At 49.7% G+C, this 23912-nt stretch overlaps 5 annotated features.

Moving 5' to 3' along the window:
* Positions 7111–7964: an enhancer, noted in NCBI's record as "NANOG-H3K27ac-H3K4me1 hESC enhancer chr7:131291119-131291972 (GRCh37/hg19 assembly coordinates)". NCBI's record gives its function as "activates a minimal SCP1, AML or CMV promoter by ChIP-STARR-seq in primed H9 embryonic stem cells {active_cell/tissue: H9 hESC(primed)}" and the evidence as "EXISTENCE:reporter gene assay evidence [ECO:0000049][PMID:30033119]".
* Positions 7965–8820: an enhancer, noted in NCBI's record as "OCT4-NANOG-H3K27ac-H3K4me1 hESC enhancer chr7:131290263-131291118 (GRCh37/hg19 assembly coordinates)". NCBI's record gives its function as "activates a minimal SCP1, AML or CMV promoter by ChIP-STARR-seq in primed H9 embryonic stem cells {active_cell/tissue: H9 hESC(primed)}" and the evidence as "EXISTENCE:reporter gene assay evidence [ECO:0000049][PMID:30033119]".
* Positions 8821–9674: an enhancer, noted in NCBI's record as "OCT4-NANOG-H3K27ac-H3K4me1 hESC enhancer chr7:131289409-131290262 (GRCh37/hg19 assembly coordinates)". NCBI's record gives its function as "activates a minimal SCP1, AML or CMV promoter by ChIP-STARR-seq in primed H9 embryonic stem cells {active_cell/tissue: H9 hESC(primed)}" and the evidence as "EXISTENCE:reporter gene assay evidence [ECO:0000049][PMID:30033119]".
* Positions 21309–21809: an enhancer, noted in NCBI's record as "H3K4me1 hESC enhancer chr7:131277274-131277774 (GRCh37/hg19 assembly coordinates)". NCBI's record gives its function as "activates a minimal SCP1, AML or CMV promoter by ChIP-STARR-seq in primed H9 embryonic stem cells {active_cell/tissue: H9 hESC(primed)}" and the evidence as "EXISTENCE:reporter gene assay evidence [ECO:0000049][PMID:30033119]".
* Positions 22563–22763: a silencer, noted in NCBI's record as "peak6728 fragment used in MPRA reporter construct". NCBI's record gives its function as "represses an SCP1 promoter by STARR-seq MPRAs in K562 erythroleukemia cells {active_cell/tissue: K562}" and the evidence as "EXISTENCE:reporter gene assay evidence [ECO:0000049][PMID:32103011]".

Raw genomic sequence — 23912 nt, 5'->3', positions numbered from 1 at the left:
GCCTCAATTTATGCTAAGGCACCAACCTGATAAAGAATTCAAACACTGAGGAAACTATCTCTCCAAAACTTTCTTCTATGGACTGTTAAATGGGGCTTCCCTCTGGCTTTGGACTGGGTTCAGCCAGTGGGAAACACCAGCCGGAGACTGGAAGACAGGAGGCGAGAGACCAAGACACATGTTCCGCCGGCTCCTCTCTCCCAGGTCACCGGGGTTCCCTGCAATCCCGCCAGGCAGCCCCCTCTGGACAGCAGTCTCTCCAGATCCCCTTTCCTCTCCCCTCAAGCCAGTGGACAGTAATGGCTCCCAGCTGTTGCTATTATTATACTGTGCCATCTCCTGTTGGTTTTCTGTACCCTTACCCTCCTACCGTAAATGGTCCTTTTATTAAACTCTTTCCAGTGATCTTTGTGCATACCATTGTTTCTCTGCATATACCATAACTTACTGTCAACTCCCAACCTCATAGTCCAGGCATCACCCTTCCTCAGCAGCCAGTCCTTTCCTTTCTGTCGATGGCTCTGTTTTCTCACCTCCTACCTCCTACCTGCAGGGCCACCAGATTTTTGTTTTTGTTTTTTTGAGATGGAGTCTCGCTCTGTCGCCCAGTCTGGAGTACAGTGGCGTGATCTTGGCTCACTGCAAGCTCTGCCTCCCGGGTTCACGCCATTCTCCTGCCTCAGCCTCCCGAGTAGCTGAGACTACAAGCGCCCACCACAACGCCTGGCTAATTTTTTGTATTTTTAGTAGAGACTAGGTTTCACCGTGTTAGCCAGGATGGTCTCGATCTCCTGACCTCGTGATCCGCCTGCCTCGGCCTCCCAAAGTGCTGGGATTACAGGCATGAGCCACCGCGCCCGGCCGAAGGCCACCAGTTTTACAAGTGTTCCGCTCCTCTTTCCTTTACACTCTCCTTTCCTTAGGCACTCTTCCTCCTTCACCATTTCACTTGGGTCATATACCCATAAAGAGGATAGGGATAGGCCATTCTGTTACTTCATCCTCCAGTTCGAGTAAGCCTTAGGGATCATCTTTCTTTTGCTGTCACCTCTGAATGTTATAATGTCTTTCCTAATCCCTACAAAACAATAGGGACCATTGACTTTATGCTTATACTTTATGTGAAGACACAAACTTGACCTTTAAATAACAGTTGCTCTCCAGATAGAGAACAGAACTAAAGAAAGGACAGAGAGACAGAATGGTAGGGTAGAAATAGTGCTGGGCTGGGAGCCAAGACCAAAGTGTTCTAACCTAGCAAACCAAGATGTAACCCAGGAGCAGTAAAAGCAGGGTTTCAGGGACTGGGTGCAGTGGCTCACGCCTGTAATCCCAGCACTTTGGGAGGCCGAGGCAGGCGGATCATGAGGTCAGGAGATCAAGACCATCCTGGCTAACACGGTGAAACCCCGTCTCTACTAAAAATACAAAAAATTAGCTGGGCGTGGTGGCGGGTGCCTGTAGTCCCAGCTACTTGGGAGTCTGAGGCAGGAGAATGGCATGAACCTGGGAGGCGGAGCTTGCAGTGAGCCGAGATCACACCACTGCACTCCAGCCTGGGTGACAGAGCGAGACTCCATCTCAAAAAAAAAAAGCAGGGTTTGAGGTCAGGGTCTTATTAGCTGAAATGAGGACTTATTTTGTAGTTTTGTTGTAAAGATAAATGAAATAGTATATATGAGGCACTTAGTACAATACTTATTGCATTGGCCGGGTGCCATGGCTCATGCCTGTAATCCCAGCACTTTGGGAGGCCGAGGCGGGTGGATCACCTGAGATTGGGAGTTCGAGACCAGCCTGACCAACACGGAGAAACCCCGTTTCTACTAAAAATACAAAATTAACCGGGTGTGGTAGCGCATGCCTGTAATCCCAGCTACTCGGGAGCCTGAGGCAGGAGAATTGCTTGAACTGGGGAGGCGGAGTTTGCAGTGAGCCGAGATTGTGCCATTGCACTCCAGCCTGGGCCATAAGAGCGAAATTTTGTCTCAAAAAAAAAAAATACTCATTGCATTATAAAAAATGGTAGTTATTGTTAATTCTGTTCCGTTGTTACACTAATGGTATCGTCACATTGTTTCAAACAGTGTTGTGTCACACGTGCCTTGGAAAGCATCTGGCACACATTAGGGATTCAATAAATATACGTGTCCAATGAATAAATAAATCAATGAGTTCTCAGCTTTGCCAATGACAAACAGTGCGATCTTGAACAAACAACTTCGCTGCTCTGGGTCTGTCTGTTCTGCTATGAAGAAGAGTATGGGCACAGGGTCGTCATAGTCCCTCCCAGGGCAGATCTCCATGCCACAGAATAGGCAGAGCTGGGGGCCAGAGGAAACTCGGTGCTCTGGACCAAAGGAGTGTGGGCACTGGTAGAGTGGGCTGGTGAGAAAATGCCAAAAGCAAGGCAGTAGGGTCTGTAGGTCTCCACTTGCCAAAGGAGTCAAGTAATTACGGCTGCTAATTCCCCTGGACCCCAAAACCTCCCTGTGTTTTCCCTGGCTCCCCTCAGGTTAAAAGAAGAAGTTGTAGAACTGCAGGGGCAGGCCGGGCATGGTGGCTCACGCCTGTAATTGTAGCACTTTGGGAGGCCGAGCAAGGCAGGTGGATTGCCTGAGTTCAGGAGTTCAAGACCAGGTTGGGCAACGTGGCAAAACCCTGTCTCTAAAAATACAAAAAATTAGCCGGGTAGGGTGGCACGTGCCTATAGTCCCAGCTACTCAAGAGGCTGAGGCATGAGAATCGCTTCAACTGGAGAGGTGGAGATTGCCGTGAGCCAAGATCATGCCACTGCGTCCCAGCCTGGGCAACAGAGGGAGACTCTGTCTCCAAAGGAAAGAAAAAAAGAACTGCTGGGGGCTTCCCCCCCAACCCCCCATCCCTGTGTCCAGGGAGCCTTCCAGAGCCTGGGCACTGCCCAGCATTATATCGCCATGGTCTGTGGAATGCGCCTGAAAATGTGGCCTCATTCATTTACTCATGAGGTATCAGACCTTGCTAAGTGCTGGGAATAGCTAGCAGTTAACAAACTCATCTCTGCCCTCATTCCATTCAAGTCAAGGGGCAAGCATGAAACAGGTACTCAAATAAATAACTGATTTCAGGTTGTAAGAAGTACCACAAAGAAAAACAAAACAGGTAACGGGGCAGCTAGGGTAGTTAAAGGAGACTCCCTTGACCCACGGCATCCTCTCCTGGGCTAAGATGCAGGGACTGGCAACAGGGAGGAGAGCACCAAGGTACAGACCTGGGAGGGTGGAGAGAAAAGAGAAGGGAGGGGAATAGGAAGACAGAACGTGGTTCACAAGTTGGGGCAGGGCGCAGGGAGGCCTGAGTGGGGGCTCCTGGCAATTATATGGGTGCCTTGTGCTGCCCCACTTAGCTGAGCCCTGTTAAGGACCAAAAACTGCTAGTGGCCAAGGCCTTGGCTTTGCCTGGTGCTCACCTGAGTCCTCCACTCTGCTCCCCTCTGCTCCTCTCTGGCCTTAATCTTTTCTTTTCTTTCTTTTTTTTTTTTTGAGATGGGGTCTCACTCTGTCGCCCAGGCTGGAGTGCAGTGGTGCAATCTCAGCTCACTGCAACCTCCGCCTCCCAGGTTAAAATGATTCTCATGCCTCAGGCTCCTGAGTAGCTGGGATTACAGGCACATGCCATCATGCCTGGCTAATTTTTTGTACTTTTTAGTAGAGACGGGGTTTTACTGTGCTACACAGGCTGGTCTTGAACTCCTGACCTCAGGTGATCAGCCTGCCTCAGCCTCTCAAAGTGCTGGGATTACAGACGTAAACCACCATGCGGGGCCCCAGTCTTTTCTTCAGAGGCCTCCTCAGCACCCCCACCCCCAAACCTGAGCTTGTGAGAGTCTATCCGCCACCTCAGAGGCCCGGGCAGGGCCCCAGGGGAGGCCCCAAGATGACCTGGCCAGGAGTGTTTGTCTGTCTCTGGTAGGAGACTGAAAACACAACAGCATTTTTCCTAAAAATCAAGTGACCCCAAGACAGGTGTCATCCCAGAGGGCTGGGCCTGCAAGACCTCCAGGACTGCTCCCAGATCTCCTTGGCCTGCCTGTCAACGAGCTCCAAGGAGCCAGGGCATCACCACCACATGACCACGACAGTCACCCAGCCTGGACCCAGGGAACAGACTCCAGGAGGGCTGACTCAGGGCTGCCGTGGAGACAGGAGGGGCAGGACAGGGGTTGGGGTGGAGGGCAGACAACTGGGAGAAACTCAGGCCTGACCTCTACTTGATGCCAAACCTCTCCCTCCCAGAAGGCCAGCGCTCAATCTCGCCCTGGTTTATCCAAGCCAATATTTTAGGCCCTTTGCCCATGAAGTCTTTCCTAATTTTCTCACCTGGATGGAATTAATTGGCTCATTTGTTTCTCAGCAAACATTTATTGCACCTTCCATGTGGCAGCTGATACAGAAAAGTAAAGTGATCCTTCCTTGAAGGAGGCCACATTTTACTGGAGCACATAAGGAAATGAGTGTGAAGAATGCTGGACATACGTGTGTGTGTGTGTGTGTGTGTGTGTGTGTGTGCATATATGCCTATCCCGTGTCCTGGGAAATCCTTTGGTCTCAAGTAGACTGGGACACTTGGTTACCCTAGAAAAGATCAGGTTCAAAAAGAGAGAGGAAGCCAGGGATCTGGCTAATTCACTGATTAACCACCTTGGGTAGATAAGCGTTGGCTGGGCTGGACACAGTGGCTCACGCCTGTAATCCCAACACTTTGGGAGACTGAGGCGGGAGGATCACTTGAGCCCAGGAGTTCGAGACCAGCCCTGGCAATATGAGAGATGCCATTTGTACCAACAATTTAAAAATTAGCTAAGTATGGTGGCACATACCCGTGGTCCCAGCTATTTGGGAGGCTGAGGTGGGAGGATCATTTGAGCCCAGGATGTTGAGGCTGCAGTGAGCCATGATCAGTACTCCTTGAGCCACAGAAAGTCAGCTAGCCTGGAATTGCCCAACCAGATTTCTGACCTTGGATTCAGTCTTCAAAGATTTTTTTTTTCCTTTTTTCTTTTTTTTTCAAGACAGAGTTTCTGGCTGGGCACGGTGGCTCATGCCTGTAATCCCAGCACTTTGGGAGGCCGAGATAGGCAGATCACGAGATAAGGAGTTCGAGACCAGCCTGGCCAACATGGTGAAACCTCATCTCTACTAAAAATACAAAAATTAGCTGGGTGTGGTGGCGCGCACCAGTAATCCCAGCTACTCAGAAGACTGAGGCAAGAGAATCATTTTAACCTGGGAGGCAGAAGTTGCGGTGAGCCGAGATTGCACCATTGCGCTCCAGCCTGGGTGACAGAGCAAAATCCCAGCTCAAAAAAAAAAAAAAAAAAAAAAAGACAGAGTTTCCTTCTGTCGCCCAGACTGGAGTGCAATGGCACGATCTCGGATCACTGCAACCTCTGCCTCCCAGGCTCAAGTGATTCTCGTGCCTTAGCCTCCAGAGTAGCTGGGATTACAGGCATGCGCCACCGCACCCAGTTAATTTTTGTATTTTCAGTAGAGACGGGATTTCACCATGTTGGCCAGGCTGGCCTCGAGCTTCTGGCCTCAAGTGATCGGTTCGTCTTGGTCTCCCAAGTGCTGGGATTACAGGCATGAGCCACCAGGCCCAATCAGAAGGTGTTTTCTTCATGTGACAGATAAACCACTGCACTCCAGCCTAGGTGACAGAGTGAGACCCTGTCTTCTAAAAAAAAAAAAAAAAAAAAAAAGAAGGTGGCTATAGGTGGACACAGAGAGGGTGTGTCTATATATGGGGAAGTATTATTAAACCTTTCCTTTGGAAGTATTAAACCCACCATGCCCCTACCCCCATGGTCCTCTGATCCTGACTGCCCCTGGGCAGTTGCCCTCCATCCCCGGCTTGTAGCCCGTTCACAGCCCCTCGGCAAGGCTGCAGCTCTCCCTCACCTTTCAATGACCCCTCAGAGGGGGCACACTGGGATTCCATCCCCCTTCAACAGACAGAGGCATCTGGCACCCTCCCTTTGCTGGTAGCCTAGGCCCCAGTGGAGTCATGCTTTGGTGATGTCTCCAAGCAGCTGTCTTTAACCCATTCCTGTCCAGCCCTCCAGCTTACTCCACACACACGTTGACTCCTGCACTCATTATTCTGTGCCCCTGTAGAGCCTCAAACACCCTCGAAGGGGGTCAGGGCAGCTTCAGCTAGAGACAACATGACTCTTAGTGTATTCCCCTCTGAGAAGAGATCTGGGAGCGCCCCCCACCCCCACCCCCAGCCGAGACAGGGTCAGGAGGAGCAGCAATGTTGTTCTACCGATGCCACGCATCCACCAGACCCCACGCCTGCCCGCTGGCCACAGTCACGCTCAATGCCGCCTCTGTTGTAAGGCTCCTTGTGAAAAGCCCCTGTGTTGCGGCTCCCGGCTCCAGCGAGGTCTTTGGCACAAGGTCTCCATTCATGCCAGGCTCGCCTTTCTTGGCCACACAGGCAGCCCTTGCTCCAAGAGGAAAGCTGCTGGGTGCAGGGTGGATCTTCCCCCTTGGCTCCCAGAGAGGCCAAGACATGCTGCCTGAATTCCCTCTCTCCACTCAGTGCCACCTTCTGTCTGCCTCCTGGGAAATCTTGACATGAGCTCAGAAGGACGGGGCTGAGGAGCACCCTGTCTACCCCTCTGCCGACCATCATCTGAGCCCCCGGCTCCACGAAGTGTCAACGAGAGGTCATGCACAGACAAAGCGTACAGACAAAACTTTCTTCCTCTTCCAATGAGCTAGGGGATAAAAAGAGCCGTCTAAAAGACACCTATCTCTAGGGACTGAATAGAGAGTCAGGGCTGAGGAATGAGGCTGCAGACAGGGATGTTATCAGGCTAGCAAGTTAGCCGCCTGGCTTTCTGAAGCACATGCAGTTTGGTGAGTCCGAGTCCTTTACTATTCTGCAGACCATTCATGTCCCAAGCAATAGAACACAGCAGTGGCTCTCAAACTTCAATGTGCCTCAGAATCACCTGGGGGACTTATTAAAACCCAGGCAGGGCATGGTGGCCCATGCCTGTAATCCTGGCATTTTAGGAGGCTGCAGTGGGAGGATGGCTTGAGCCCAGGAGTTTGAGACCAGCCTGGGCAACATGGTGAGACCCTATCTCTACAAAAAATTAAAAAATTAGCCAGGTATGGTAGCTCACACCTGTAGTTCCAGCCACTAGCGAGGCTGAGGTGGGAGGATCACTTGAGCCAGGAGTTCAAGACAGCCTGGGCAACATAGTCAGACCCTGTTAGACTTCCCTTGGTCCCTACAACCTATAAGGTGAGTAGTCGTTATTCCCATTTCACAGGAAAAAAGAGGCCCAAGAGTCCATCACTGGCCCAAGGGTAAGCAACTAACAGAGTGGCAAGCAGCACAGGTTCTGAGGCCAGGTCGCCCGACACCAACAGGGGAGGTGGGGTTTGTCAAGAAGCTTCCAAGAGGAAAAGTGACTCAAGCCGCAAGGCGAATGCAGTGAACAGGATGCACAGTGAAGAAGGCGTGGGGAGTTTGTGAAACGTCATATTGAAATTGGGGGGTGTGGGATAAGTGAGAAGTGTGGTGGGTGTGGGTGGCCAGGTCAAAAGGCCACATCAAAGGGCCTTGCAGGGTGAGTTGTAGAGGCTGGGAGGAGGACACCCTGGCTGCGGCGGGGCCTTTGGTGCCACACCAAGGCCCCTGGGCCAGGCACTGCAGCTATCAAGTGCTACTGCAGAGTCTGAAGTTGACAATAGCACCACTAAGTCAGTGCTTCAGGGAAAGTATTCTGTCTGCCAGAGGGAAGCAAAAACAGCTTGAGGCAAGTTTACGAACCTGGCAGGTGCTGGCAGAGAGGGAGGCAACTTCCCTAATATAGTCATGTGGTAACTGGAACAGCTCTCTATGGGTTGTGTAATCCAGTTCTTATCACTCCCAACCTCTCCCCAAAGATTATCTATGAGTTGTCATCTTCTGTGCTCTTTCTCATCATCTGAGGGATCCTAGTGACCCTCAAAGAACTCTATGTCCTGCAGAGAAGGGAGAAGAGGTTAGGGTGAAATAAGCTGGCAGAGTGAGGGCCGGCAGACATTTACCCAGGTGGCCAAGGACTCCGGCACATCAAGCATCACTCAGTCTCTTCAAGATATCTTACAGAGAGAATTCTCAGGGCTCTTCCCCTATCTCTTTTTCAATCCTTATGATAGAACAGCAGCTTATTCTTTTTTGTTCAGCCTCCAAAGGAGAAGAACAAAAGAGCCCTGAGTCAAGTGAGTGCTCCTCTTAAAGGGTCCCCGGAAAGTGAACAAGTTTCCACTGCCCCGGCGTAGGTGGGGTGCTTTTGTCTGCTCAACCCCCTCTCCCAGGGGCTGCTCCCACTGGGGACAGGAGTGCAAGAGTGTGCACTGCCTGGTACAAACGTCCCTGCCATGTACCGGCAGAACCACACACAAGGCCCATCAGTCAGCCAGATCACAGAAGTATCTTCTTACATGAAGACAAGTGCATGGGCTGAGTGGGGACATGCCTAATTTCATTTCTCCTCATACAGGCTTTTAGTGAGTGGGCAACTGTCCAAGCCGGGCCCAAAGAAGAAAGTCGCCATTCCCATCCACGGCGCCTGTGGAGCACAGCCAGAGGTGGGGGGAGATGCCGTTTGAAGGAGGCTCTTTGGAAATTCTTCACATTTTTTGGCTTTTGTCTCTGGGCATTGAGATGGAGACCCACATTTTACTCTGTGGAGAGTTCCCAGTCTTCCTTTGCATTCAAAAGGAAGATCCTAGAAGAGAGCTGAAAGAATTCTGAGGCTTTTTCATCTCAATGACCAGTGGAGTCATTTAGGGGGTAGGGGGTCCTACGAGATTTGTTTCACTGCATTTCCCTTTCAGTCTATAGCCCCAGCCCCAGGCCCAGGTCCTAAGTGATGTAAATGTGATGCTCTTTCTGGGAAGAGCAGCTCTCCCAGACTCCCTGGATTCTCGGGTGAATGTGACAGCGAGCCAGGACACCTGGGTTCTGAGGACTCTGCAGGACCTCAGGCAAACCACCGTGAACTTAGAAGCCGCACTTCTCCCGACGTGGAGAAGAGTTTGGCTGCATCCTCTGACTTCGCATCCCGGGAGCAGTGAGGTCACCAATGGTGATAGTCATGGTGTTTTCAGTGTAGGAACATGAATAAGAGGCAGGGACACCATGGATAAGTCCCATCAGGAGGTTAGCCAGAAGCTAACCTCAGCCGGAAATTTCAGATTTCCACATACCTCTCTGTCCAGCAAGCCTTTTGCAGTTGTGAAGGAGGATCTCTGTTACCAATCTGAGATCCCTATCATTTCATTCCCAGATGAATTGCTCATCCCTCTCCCACCAGATGCCACTTTGCATCCAAATCAACAAGCAACCGGTGATTCATAAGCAAATGGGGGAGGAGGGAATCTAGGAGGCTGCCCATGAATACCATCCTTTGACTGTCTCTTCTCACTGTCTTCCTGATTCTGGGACTCCAGATCACCTATACTCTGCAGGACTTATGTCTTCCTTCCATTGTTTTTCTACGACTGAGAAAGGGGTTGCCTGAGCCACCCTGTCCCTTTTGTGACCAAAATAAAGTCTTTATCAAGGGCCCAAAGGAGAGATCTTATAGAAAATGGAGCACATATTTCTTTAACAGTTCTCCAGTACCCTCTCAGCAGCCCCTCTTAGAGATCCTTGTACCTATCATCAGGTTTTGTCCCCACCCACAGAACTGATCCCCCTCCAAGGGGAAAAGCTGGCCTAGGTTGAGGGGCACCAGCCTTTAGTAAATGAATCTGCCAGGGCATCATTAACTTACTGCAGGACCTCAGGGGAATCACTTAGCCTCTCAGCTTCAGCTTTCTCCAGCAAAAAAGGAAAAGGTTGGACTGGAAAACTTCTAAGATTCCTTCCAGACATGGCAGCCTAAGGCTCAAGTGTGAGCTCCACTTTTTTTTTTTTTCTTGCTCTGTCACCCAGGCTGGAGTGCAGTGTCACAATCTTAGCTCACTGCAGCCTCCACTTCCCAGGCTCAAGCAATTCTCCCACCTCAGCCTCCCAGAGCTCCACATCTTACTGCAGGACAACTCATCCATTTTCTTCTTCAGCTGTTCAGGTAGTGGCCCTGCCCCTGAGGCCTGGCTATGGCTGGAACACAGTAAGTATCCAATTCCTTTGCGGCTCAACCCTCCTGTGGGTGGCTACACAGTGCAAACCACAGACAGACAATAGCCATCTCTCTGTACAATGTGGGCCCTGATTAGACTGGCCATTTCTCCAGGCTCTGACCAGTGTCATAGCACTGTAAAGATAACCCTCTCAGGGCCGCTGCCCCAGTGTTCCCTGAGGGGGTTCCTTTCTGACTTCTGGAACCACAGCCTAAACAGATGCTTAGAATTTGTCTGCATTTTGGCAACTTCTCCAAAAGTATTTCTATTGCTTTTTTTGTTTGTTTGTTTGGCTTTTGCTTTTCAAATTTAGAAAACACATTTTCCTATGAAAATGGATTATACTGGCCAGGCGCGGTGGCTCACGCCTGTAATCCCAGCACTTTGGGAGGCCGAGATGGGTGGATCAGCTGAGGTCAGGAGTTTGAGACCAGCCTGGCCAACATGGCAAGACCCTGTCTCTATTAAAAATACAAAAATCATCCGGGCGTGGTGGCACATGCCTGTAGTCCCAGCTACTCGGGAGGCTGAAGCAGGAGATTCGCTTGAACCCGGGAGGCAGAGGTTACAGTGAGCCGAGATCCTGCCACTGCACTCCAGCCTGGGTGACAGAGCAACACTCCATCTCAAAAAAAAAAAAAAAAAAAAAAAAGAGAGAGAGGGAAATAAAATGGATTATACTGATTCAAATTTAGAAAACACAGTTTCCTCTGAAAATGGATTATATTGACTTGTGTCAGCCCCTCCTTTCTTGAGATGAGCCCAGCAACTCCTTTACAATGAAATCCTGATCTTTGGGAAAATGGCCTTTTCCTTTTTGTAGTAGACGGCTTCAGCTTCCCACATCAAGGGACAATGCAATGTTCACTTCCAGTAGCCTGGCTCCACTTGAGCTGCAAGCTCCCTACAGCCCTCTGCTTGCTTGGGTGAATGAGTGTGCCACTGGGTGTGTTGCTTCATATGAGTGTTTATCTCTGTGTCTGAGTCTCTATCTCTCTGGCTCTGTGCTTATCTCCCTGCATGTGGCTCTCTGTGGCTCTCAGAGCCTCTCTCTCTGCCCCGCACTGTTTGTCTAGGCATGTGTTGGCGTGTTTGTCTCTCCATCCGCACAGGTCTCTCTGCGTCTGTACACAGATGCTCCTGTTACTCCAATAGAGTCAGCCCACTTTCCCTTTCCATTCACTGCCAAATTTCAAGTTTTTCTGTAGGTAACCAGTGGTGGCTTGGCCCCCAGGAGCAGCCTCTTTTCTAAACCTGTGCCTTCCCGGGAAGCCTGAGTCAGCACAGCCAAACTCCCTCCAAAACACAAGTCCAATGCCAGGAGGATGTGTGGGTGATGAGCCTTTCACCAAGTCTCCACAGGATGACACAAGAGAGATTTTATCCCATACCCCATCGCACCACAAAAATTCAATCACACGTCCCGGGTAGACGACATGGCTCTCTCATTAGAATTCTTCTGAAAGGGTCGCTTTTTTCGTGTAGTTGACACCGCAAGACCTGGCTCACCTGCAGCCCCCTTTAAAAACACCACCTGCACCATGGGCCCTACGGCAGTTGGGCCACAGCTGATTGGACCAAGGGTGGGCACCTGACCTGGATGCTGCCGCTCTATTGGTTGGCCAGTGTCCAAGAGCTGGTGATTACCTGAGCCAATCAGGTTCTCCTGCAGCCAATGCCCAGGGGGACCCATGTGGTGGTTGGCAGAGAAGCAGAATGGCCCTGGAAGAAAAGCAGAGAATGGCCCTGGAAGGCAAGCAGGGACGGGAGGGATGGAGCTATGAGGCCGCAAAGCAGAGGAGGCTCAGTCCTCTCCCCAGAATGAGAAGCTGCAGGTACAAGGCTGTACAGCCCCAGGCTCTGTCACAGTGCTTCTCTGCACCCCTACCTAGCAGGTGCCACAGGACACATTGGGTTACTGATAAATCCTGTTAAATGGTGCCTGGATGGGTTCCTGAAACACCTTCTTGCATTTTGGGGGCTCAGAAACTGATACCCCAAATTATGGCGAGGCGACATGCCGAACTGTAGAAGCCTCAAGGTCTCTCTGACCTTTCCTCCACCCCCACTGTCTCTCCCAAAGAAGCTGAAGTTCCTTTATGTGCCTGAGATCCAGACAATTGTTTCTTCTTTCCCTCTCTGTAAGACCAAGAATGTAACCACACCTGAACAGACGTTTTCGCTGTCAAAGAGAACTATTTCTGGTTAATCTCTGTTCCCTGATCCATTCATTCTCCCCAGTAATCCCCCCAACAAAATTCCTGTTCTCCCCCGTCCATAACCTGTTTTGCCAGGTTGGAATACAAGCTTTTGAACCTCACTGGGCGAGGGGGGTCTTCAAGCTGCGGGCTCGTGTGTCTATATGTTAAATAAATGTGTATGTCTTTTCTCCTGTTAATCTGCCTCATGTCAGTGATTTTCAGGAAACCTTCATAGGGCCAAGGGGAAAGCTCTTCCTTGACCCCTAAACCCTCAAATCACATCCATCCTCCAAAAGGCCAGCACTTGGCTCATTTCTGCTCTTCCTGCTTGGGTGAATTTCCCTGGATCGCTGGGAAGCCAGCCCTCAATAGCCAATAGCCCTGTTGGCTATTTTCTTTTTTTTCTTGTTTTTTTTGTTTTTGTTTTTTTTTTTTTTTTGAGACGGAGTTTCGCTCTTGTTGCCCAGGCTGGAGTGCAATGGTGTGATCTTGGCTCACTGCAACCTCCGCCTCCTAGGTTCAAGAGATTCTCCTGCCTCAGCCTCCCAAGTAGCTGAGCTTACAGTCATGCACCACCATGCCTGGCTAATTTTGTATTTTTAGTAGAGACGGGGTTGAGAAACACCGTTGGTCAGGCTGGTCTCGAACTCCCGACCTCAGGTGATCCTCCCGCCTTGGTCTCCCAAAGTGCTGGGATTACAGGCACAAGCCGCTGTGCCCGGCCTGTTGCCTATTTTCATGTGTTATACGTACAGGTTAGGTGTGCTGCTCGGTGGGGTGTCTGGTACCCTTCCTTGAATTACAGTCTGTGTAACTGAGGCCCTGAGGGAAGTTTGGGTCAATTCCCCATGTACAGATTTGAGGTTGGGGTAAACATGGCTGAGAGGCTTTCCTCTCCCATCATGTCCTTCTCATACCATGGCGTGAGGACAGTTCTTCCCCTAGTACCCAGTCGAGAAATCCTGGATCTCTTTGTCTTTGAATAGCATGGACCATCCACAGAGCACCTGCTACCTTGTTGGGTCCCATGAGTTCCCTCCACCCAATGTGCTCCACTCTGGCTGGGCCATACGGTTAAAGGGGAGTGAAGCTGGAGAAGAATGTGTGGATGTTGAGGCTTTCATCTCTTAAACAAATAGCAAATTCCTCTGGGCTGCCTGTGCTGGAATTAAACAATGATGTGTTCAGGGAGGCTCTAAGGCGTTCCCTTAGCAACGCCCAGGCTGTTTTCAGGCAAGATCTAGTTAAAGAGGAAAGAGAACAAAAATAATAAAGGGACGGGTCTGGATGGAGTCCAGGAATGGGGGTCTTTTGGCTGAATGTGTGTGTTTTGTGTTCTGATGTGTTTGCAGTCCTCCTTTATGCTAAATTTCCTCTCGCCTTCCCTGGTACGTCCCACTGTTGACGAGGTGGGCTCACTGGAATACTAATGGCGGCTAAGAAGAACATACGCTATGCAGGGGGACGGGTTAGGTAGGGAAAGATGTCACAGCTGGGACTACCTAAGGGAGAAGTGACACATGTGAAACCTGCTAGGCTGGCTCTTGCTACCATAAAGGTCATGGGAGGAAGAGGGTGAGTGGCCAGGCTCCTCAAAGGTGCTTGGGCCTTAGGCAGGGCAGAGGCCTGTATGGTAGAAATCCATCAGACCCTACTCAGAGTGTGTTCTGTGGCCAGCAGCAAAGGCATCCCCTGGCAGCTTGACAGCAATGCAGAATGTCAGGCCACCCCAAGCACGCTGAAGCAGGGTCTGTATTTTGACAAGACACCCAGGTGATGAATGTATGCCTATAGTTGGAGAAGCACTGATCAGAACCCTTTCTCTGTCTCTCCCAGGATTCTGCAAATCATTTTGTTTGTTTGTTTGAGACAGTCTGGCTCTGTCACCCAGGTAGCTGTGCAGTGGCTCAATCTCTGCTACCTGCAACCTCCGCCTCCCAGGTTCAAGTGATTCTTGTGCCTCAACCACGCAGGTAGCTGGGATTACATGTGTGCACCACCACTCCCAGGTACTTTTTTGTATTTTTAGTAGAGATGGGGTTTCGCCATGTTGACCAGACTGGTCTTGAACTCCTGGCCTCAAGGGATCTGCCTGCCTCGGCCTCCCAAAGTGCTGGGATTACAGACGTGAGCCACTGCACCTGGGCGGATCCTGCAAATCTATCACCACCTTTCTAGAGTCAAAGTGGACTACTAAAGCAAGGCGGCAACTCCACATAAAACCAAGCAGATTCGGTTTGCTGACTGATAATGCAGTTTTCGGGTGTGTGTGTGTGTGTGTGTGTGTGTGTGTGTGTGTGTGTGTGTGTGTGTTGAGACAGGTCTCACTCTATCAGCTATCACCCAGACTGGAGTGCAGTGGCACAATCTCAGCTCACTGCAACCTTCACCTCCTGGGTTCAACCAGTTATCCCACCTCAGCCTCTGGAGTAGCTGGGATTATAGGCTCACGCCAACATGCCCAACTAATTTTTTTTTTTGAGATGGAGTTTCACTCTTGTTACCCAGGCTGGAGTACAGTGGCGTGATCTCAGCTCACTGCAACCTCCACCTCATGGGTTCCAGCGATTCTCCTGCCTCAGCCTCCTGAAGTAGCTGGGATTACAGGTGCCCATCACCACTCCCAGCTAATTTTTTTGTAATTTTTACTTGAGACGGGTTTTCACCATGTTGGCCAGGCTGCTCTTGAACTCCTGACCTCAGGTGATCCACCTGCCTCGGCATCCCAAAATGCTGGGATTACAGGCGTGAGCCACCACATCTGGCCAATTTTTGTATTTTTAATAGAGACAGGGTTTCACCATGTTGGCCAGGCTAGTCTCGAACTCCTGACCTCAAGTGATCAGTCCACCTCGGCCTCCCAAAGTGCTGGGATTACAGGCGTGAGCCACTGCACCTGGCCTTGGTGTGTTTTTTAACATTGATTTTCTGTGATGATGATGAGAAAGATGGTGCTGATGATGAAGATGACATGGGTTGAATTGTGCCCCCTGCAAAAGATATGTTCAAGCCCTAACCCCTGGGACCTGCAAATGTGACTTTATTTGGAAATAGGATCTTTGTGGATGTAATCAGATCATTACGGTGGACATCATCCAATAACTGATGTCCTTATAAGAAGCAAGAGAGCTGGGCGTGGTGGCTCACACCTGTAGTCCCAGCACTTTGGGAGGCCGAGGCGGGCAGATCACGAGGTCAGGAGATTGAGACCACCCTGGTTAACATGGTGAAGCCCCATCTCTACTAAAAATACAAAAAATTAGCCAGGCATGGTGGCACATGCCTGTAATCCCAGCTACTCAAGAGGCTGAGGCAGGAGAATCTCTTGAACCTAGGAGGTGGAGGTTGCAGTGAGCCGAGATCACGCCACTGCACACCAGCCTGGGCAACAGAGTGAGACTCCGTCTCAAAAAAAAAAAAAAAAGAAGAAGCAAGAGATTTGGACACAGACACACAGGGAGAATGCCATGTGATGATGGGGGCAGAGACTGAGTGACAGTGTCACAGCCAAACAGCAAAGGAATGTCAGGGATTGATGACAGCTGCCAGAAACTAGGAGACAGGAATGGAACAGATTCTCTCTCAGATTTCCCAAGAAGGAACCAACCCTGCCAACACCTCAGTTTCAGACTTCTGGCCTCCAAAACTGTGGGACAATAAATTTCTGTTCTTTGAAGCCACCCAGCTTACAGTTCTTTGTTCTGGCAATCCTAACAAACTAATAGATACTTTCCTCTCTTAAAGCAATTTTACATGCATTTTCTTGTGAAAGCAGAGGCAGAGAAGCATTTTAATATTTTACATACAAGAAAGCCCCTTTAGCTGGGCATGGCAGCTCAGCCTGTAATCCCAGCTATTCAGGAGGCTGAGGTGGGAGGATTGCTTGAGCCCAGGAGTTTGAGGCTGCAGTGAGCTATGATCACACCAATGCACTCCAGCCTAGGTGACAGAGTGAGACCCTGTCTCAAAAAAATAAATAAATTCTTTTTTTTTTTTTTTTTGAGATGGAGTCTCGCTCTGTCACCCAGGCTGGAGTGCATCAGCATGATCTCGGCTCACTGCGAGCTCCGCCTCCTGGGTTCACGCCATTCTCCTGCCTCAGCCTTCGGAGTAACTGGGACTACAGGCGCCCGCCACCTCGCCCGGCTAATTTTTTTTTTTATTTTTAGTAGAGACGGGGTTTCACAGTGTTACCCAGGATGCTCTCGATCTCCTGACCTCGTGGTCCGCCCGCCTCGGCCTCCCAAAGTGCTGGGATTACAGGCATGAGTCACTGCGCCCGGCCCAAAAAAATAAATAAATTCTTAAAGAAAGCTGCTTTAGGCCGGGAGCAGTGGCTCAAGCCTATAATCCCAGCACTTTGGGAGGCTGAGGCGGGCGGATCACGAGGTCAGAAGTTCGAGACCAGCCTGGCCAACATAGTGAAACCCCATCTCTACTAAAAATACAAAAAATTAGCTGGGTAAGGTGGTATGAGCCTGTAATCCCAGCTACTCGGGAGGCTGAGGCAGGAGAATTGTGTGAACCCGGGAGGTGGAGGTTGCAGTGAGCCGAGATCGCGCCACTGCACTCCATCCAGGCTGGGCAACAGTGTGAGACACCGTCTCAAAAAAAAAAAAAAAAAAAAGAAAGCTGCTTTATTACTCTGAGAAGTCACAAAGTAACGGTCCTAAGGCCACAGAGTGGGGAAATCATGAAGATGGGCCTGTGCAGAGAAGCTCACACTCTGGGGATGTGGGCCTGCTGGCTGGCCTATGCATCTGACCCTCGGCAGCTGCCCCAGACCTGAGACCACCAAGGACACTGAGTAAGAGGGGAGAATGGTGTCACGGGGCTCATTCTTTCCAAAGTGAAGATCCCACAGCTCCTTTTCCATCTGTATCACATGGGCTCACAGGTACCATACACAGTGTGTGTCCCAGCTCAAAACTGGATGTAACATGTTGCCAGTGCCCAGCCTGGGCAACATAGTGAGACTCCATCTCTACAGAAGATACAAAATTAGCCGGGCGTGGTGGCACTCACCTGTCGTCCAGCTACTCGACAGGCTGAAGTGAGAGGATTGCTTGAGCCCAGGAGGTCAAGGCTGCAGTGAGCCATGATTGCACTGCACTCAGCCTGGGTGACAGAGCAAGACTCTGTCTCAAAAAACAAACAAACAAAAAAATGGACATAACCCAAGTATGCATCCTACGTGTGGTCCAGAAATTCTAATTGGAGTTATCAAACATCACTTCACCTTCACAGTGACATTGCCCCCGAAGCCCCCAGATTCTGTTTTATTTTCCTCCTAACACTTAACCTCACCCACAATGCTCCTGCCTATCAACTTAATTAGTGTATATTTCCTGTCTCCCTTAATAGAATGTAAATTCTGGTCCCCAGAACATAGCCTTGTCCATGACAGGCCCTCCACAAACAATGGGAAGAGAACCCACTAAGAATAAAATATAATGGCATTTGCATGTACTGAAATGTTAAGCAGCCACTGAGAAGAAGGAGTTGGGTCCACGTAGTCAGTCCACAGGAAGATGGCCATGATGATATCACTGGGGCGGGGGAGCAAGTTGAAGAGTCATACACATTGTATTATCCTGGTTTTGAAATATGTACATATATATATATATATATATATATATATATATATATGCAAATATTCATGGGTTTTTATTATTTTTTATGTGGAGACAGTCTCTCTACGTTGCCCAGGCTGGTCTCAAACTCCTGGCCTCAAGCAATCCTGCAGCCTTGGCCTCCCAAAGTGCTGGGATTACAGGCATGAGCTGCCATGCCTGGACAGTACTTTTGTGTATATGTATGTACACACAAATACACATGTTTAGGTATATATTATATATATGTATATATATGTGTCTATATATGTATTCATGTGCATATATACATACATATCTAAAGAGAGACGGGACAGATGTACACTAACTATTACAGTGTGTGAAAGGAAAATAAAAACTTGGGACTGTAATTCACTCTGTCAAAAGGAAAAAATTAAGCTGAAAGCTGAGTCATGGAAGAAGCTGTCTTTCCTTTTGTTCCTAAGCAGACAGTAGCTACAGATAAAAGATTAAACATCTCCACAGGCAGCTACTCTATGTTCACCTTATCTTGTGTAATGTGCTGATTGACTGAGTGCGAGACAAATACAAAATTAACTATTCCCCAACTGTTCCTTTTCTATGGCAACATGTGGATTACCGTACCCACCTTTTCTCCCCTGCAGCCCGCTTTTCCTCTTTAAATATTGAAGTCCTTAAAATCATCCTTGGAGAGAAACACAGACCACTGACCATTTCTGTGATTTTCTGTGTTTTTCTTCTGGGCTGTCCTTAACCTTGGCAAAATAAACTTCTAAATTGATTGAGACCTGTCTCAGATTTTTTATGTATTTATTTATTTATTTTTCTTTGTGATGGAGTCTCACTCTGTTGCCCAGGCTGGAGTGCAATGGCACGATCTTGGCTCACTGCAACCTCCACCTCCCAGGTTCAAGCAATTCTCCTGCCTCAGCTTCTCGAGTAGCTGGGATTACAGGCACCTGCCACCATGCCGGGCTAATTTTTGTATTTTTAGTAGAGACAGGGTTTCACCATGCTGGCCAGGCTGGTCTTGAACTCCCGACCACAGGGATCCGCCTGCCTCAGCCTCCCAAAGTGCTGGGATTACAGCCATGAGCCACCACGCCAGGCCCTGTCTCAGATTTTTTTTTTTTTTTTTTGGTTTGCAAGTGGGTACCTCCTGGAGGTAGAGAGGAAGGGAGAATGGTGGGAGCCAGAAGCCGGGGACCAGGGCCAGGCTAAAGGAGGCAAAGCATAAGGCCAGTTACTTGCAGAGGCAGAAAATGTGCCAGAGTCAGGAGAGGGATATGAGGGAGGAAGACCTAGGACAGATTCTACCTCTGTGGCTCTTTGGCCAAGGGTTGGCCAACTAGGCCCCTGGGCTGGGGACAGTCTCTTGTCCCTTTTCCTTTTTTTTTTTTTTTTTTGTTTTTGAGACAAAGTCTCACTCTGTTGCCCAGGCTGAAGTGCAATGGCATGATCTCAGCTCACTGCAACCTCCACCTCCCAGGTTCAAGCGATTCTCTTGCCTCAGCCTCCCAAGTAACTGGGATTACAGTCATGCACCACCATACCTGGCTAATTTTTGTATTTTTAGTATAGACGGGGTTTCACCATGTTGGCCAGGCTGGTCTCCAACTTCTGACCTCAAGTGATCCGCCCGCCTCAGCCTCCCAAAGTGCTAGGATTACAGGCGTGAGCCACTGCACCCAGCCATGACACGGGTTTTTGAAAGTCCAGCACAAACAGTGTAAAAACATTGCTATTTTCCCCCAACCTTGCACCTTGCTAGCATCTGTTGTTTCTTGACTTTTTAATAATTGACATTCTGACTGGTGTGAGATGGTATCTCATTGTGATTTTGATTTACATTTCTCAAATGATCAGTGGTGTTGAGCTTTTTTTCGTATGTTTTGTTGGCTGCATGTATGTCTTTTTTTGAGAATTGTCTGTTCATATTCTTTGCCCACTTTTTAATGTGGTTGTTTGTAAATTAGTTCAACCATTGTGGAAGACAGTAAGGTGATTCCTCAAAGATTTAGAGCCGGAAATACCATTTGGCCCAGCAATCCCATTACTGGTTATATATCCGAAGGAATGTAAATCATTCTATTATAAAGATGCATGCACATATATTTTCATTGCAGCACTATTCACAATAGCAAAGACATGGAATCAACCCAGATGCCCGTCAATGATAGACTGGATAAATAAAATGTGGGCTGGGCACAGTGGCTCACACCTGTAATCCCAGTGCTTAGGGAGGCCGAGGAGGGCCGATTACCTGAGGTCGGGAGTTCGAGACCACCTGACCAACATGGAGAAACCCCGCCTCTACTGAAAATACAAAATTAGCCGGGCGTGGTGGCGCGTGCGTGTAATCCCAGCTACTCTGGAGGCTGAGGCAGGAGAATCGCTTGAACCCGGGAAGCAGAGGTTGCGGTGAGCCGAGATTGCACCATTGCACTCCAGCCTGGGTAACAAGAGCAAAACTCCGTCTCAAAAAAAAAAAAAAAATGTGGTACATATGCACCATGGAATACTATGTAACAAGATCATGTCCTTTGCAGGGAGATGGATGGAGCTGGAAGCCATTATCCTCAGCAAACTAATGCACAACCCGAAAACCAAACACCACATGTTCTCACTCATAAGTGGGAGCTGAACAATGAGAACCCATGGATACAGGGAAGGGAAGAACACTATCTGGGGCTGGTTGGAGGTAGGGAGATTGGGGGAGGTTGAGCTTTAGGGAAAAGAGCTAATGAATGCTGGGCTTAATACCTAGGTGATGTGTTGACAGGTGCAGCAAACCACCATGGCACACGTTTACGTATGTAACAAACCTGCACATCCTGCACATGTACCCCAGAACTTAAAAAATTAATAATAAAATAATTTTTAAAAGAAAGAAAGGAGCTGGGCGCGGTGGCTCACGCCTGTAATCCCAGCACTTTGGGAGGCTGAGGCGGGCGGATCACGAGGTCAGGAGATCGAGACCATCCTGGCTAACACGGTGACACTTCATCTCAACTAAAAATAGAAAAAATTAGCCAGGTGTGGTGGCGGGCGCCTGTAGTCCTAGCTATTTGGGAGGCTGAGGCAGGAGAATAGCGAGAACCCAGGAGGCGGAGCTTGCGGTGAGCCAAGATCACGCCACTGCACTCCAGCCCGGGTGACAGAGCGAGACTCCGTCTCAAAAAAATAAATAAAATAAAAATAAAAACAAGAAAGAAAAAGAAAAACAAAAAGAAGCAATAATGTCCAAGACAGGCCCTCTCCCCAGCTGAATTTTTAAATTGCAACAAATAAACTAAAAAGGCCAGCAGAAGCCCCCAGCTCCATCACCAGCTGAACTGCAGGACGTGCCCTCCCCTCCGGCGCCCTCCTCCCCTCCTCCTACCCCCAGGGGCAACTGGCTGTGAGAGCAGCTCCCACAGGTTTCCTACCCTTGGCCAAACTGCTATTCCTTAGACAAGCCCTGGCTTTCCTGCTCTGCACTGTTGTTAAGCCTCTAGCTCTTTCCTCTTCTGAAAACCTCCTTGCTCCCCATGCCATGGGTCTCTCAGGTCCAGCAGGAGAAGCTGGGATCTCCTCACTTCAGCCAGCACAGAGGGAGCGCAGGGCCCTGTTAGCCTCCCACCCAGATTCTGCTTTCAGCTCTGCCACCCTGATCCCCTAGCCTCTCAGCCTCAACGTCCCTATACATGAGGCAGGCAGAATAGATTGTTGTCAAGATGCAAGGCTATCGTACGTGTAGAGAACCCAGCCTGGTACCTGGAACAGCAGAGGTGCTGGGTACAAGGTGTGCTGGGCGGGTGGATCACCTGAGGTCAGGAGTTGGAGACCATCCTGGCCAACATGGTAAAACCCCATCTCTACTAAAAAGACAAAAATAAGCCGGGCGTGGTGGTGTGTGCCTGTAATCCCAGCTACTCGGGAGGCTGAGATAGGAGAATCACTTGAACCCGAGAGGCAGAGGTTGCAGTGAGCCGAGATCGCACCACTGCAGTCCAGCCTGGGCAACAGAGCAAGACCGCGTCTCAAAAAAAAAAAAAAAAAAAAAGGCTGGCTGATATTGGAGCGCATGCCCTCTTCCCAGAACCACGCTGGGCACTGTGGAAACAATGATCAAGGTGCTAAAGTGCTTCCTACCAGAAGCCAGCTGTCTGCGTGAAATTAGAAAGACACACAGGAAGAGAAAGTGCAGAAGAGTACATGGGAAGTGTCAGTAATAGTAACGCTGGACAGCGCCTTGGCCTCACGCACTCTCACCCACCCTTCCCTCAGCCCTGGCCACAGCCCCTGGGCTCAGCTGCACCTGTGACCATTTCATTTCTGCCCCAGGGCCCCTCTGTGCCCAGGACAGGCACTCTGGACACTCACACATGTGACAGGATAACGCTTGGCCCATAGGGAACACAAGCCAGCGGATAAATGCCGTCTCTTCCATTCTTCCCAGGGATAGTTCTGAGCCCCATTCTGTGTACTCCTCAGAGGCTCACAGCAGGTTGGAGCCCAGCTGCACACAGCAGTGACAGCTTGGAAATGCATCCTTAGATTGGTGTGCCCTCCTTTCCCATTCACTCTCAGTCTCCTACTCCCATTCTTTGGGATCCACTTCCTAAAATGAACCACCTGGATCCAGGTCCCCGTCTCCAGCAGTCTTTCCCAGTGGGAGAAGAGGCTAAGTGGCTCAGGGCACAGGCTCTGGTCTTGGACTGCCTTGGCCACTGGCTAGGGCTGTGAGCCCAAGCAAGGGGCTTCCCTTCTCCCCAGCAGGAGTAGCACCTGTTTGCCTGGTCTAAGAGTTGCTGTGGAAGTCAGTTGGAGCAGTGGTCTAGCAAAGAGGTTGAGAACACAGTCCCTGAAGCCAGATTCCTTGACTTTTCAACCTATTACCTGTGTGACCCTGGAGAAGTTACTTGATCGTCCAGTGCCTCAGTTTCCTCATATGTAACACGGGGACAATAATAATAGTACCTACTTCATAGGGTTGTTATGAGGATTAAGTGTATTAATACACGTAAAGTATCTAAAACAGTCTCTGCCTATTAAGATCATGTCTGCAAAGCTCTTTGCAGAATACCTGACTCTGGATAACACTCAATACTGAAAAAATAGAGAGAGATTATGGGCCAGGTGGTGCACATGCCTGGAGTCCCAGGTACTTGGGAGGCTGAGGTGAGAGGATCACATGAGCCCAGGAGTTTGAGAAAATGTAGGAGAGGCCAGGCACGGTGGCTCACACCTGTAATCCCAGCACTTTGGGAAGTCCAGGCGGGTGGATCATTTGAGGTCAGGAGTTCAAGACCAGCATGGCCAACATGGTGAAACCCCGTCTCTACTAAAAATTCAAAAATTAGCCAGGTGTGGTGGCATGTGCCTGTAATTCCAGCTACTCGGGAGGCTGAGGCAGGAGAATTGCTTAAACCCGGAGGCAGAGGCTGCAGTGAGCCGAGATCACACCACTGAACTCCAGCCTGGGTGACAGCAAGACCCTGAAAAAAAGGAAAGAAAGAAAGAAAGAAAGGATGGATGGATGGATGGAAGGAAGGAAGGAAGGAAGGAAGGAAGGAAGGAAGATAAATGTAGGAGAATATCTTTGTGAGTTAAAACTGGAAAGGACATCTTTTTTTTTTTTTTTTTTTAGAAGGAGTTTCGCTCTTGTTGCCCAGTCTGGAGTGCAATGGCGCGATCTCTGCTCACTGCAACCTCCGCCTCCCAGGTTCAATCGATTCTCCTGCCTCACCCTCCCCAGTAGCTGGGATTACAGGCATGAGCCACCATCCCTGGCTAATTTTGTATCTTTTTTTTTTAGTAGAGACAGGGTTTCTTCATGTTGGTCAGGCTGGTTTCAAACTCCCGACCTCAGGTGATCTGCCCACCTCGGCCTCCAAGGTGCTGGGATTACAGGTGCGAGCCACCACACCCAGCAGAAAGGCTATCTTTTACAAATGTTTATA

Source organism: Homo sapiens, chromosome 7 (assembly GCF_000001405.40).
Source record: "Homo sapiens chromosome 7, GRCh38.p14 Primary Assembly".
In the NCBI taxonomy this organism is placed as follows: domain Eukaryota; kingdom Metazoa; phylum Chordata; class Mammalia; order Primates; family Hominidae; genus Homo; species Homo sapiens.
The sequence above is the reverse complement of the archived record's forward strand: the minus strand, read 5'-3'. Positions and strand labels throughout refer to the sequence as shown.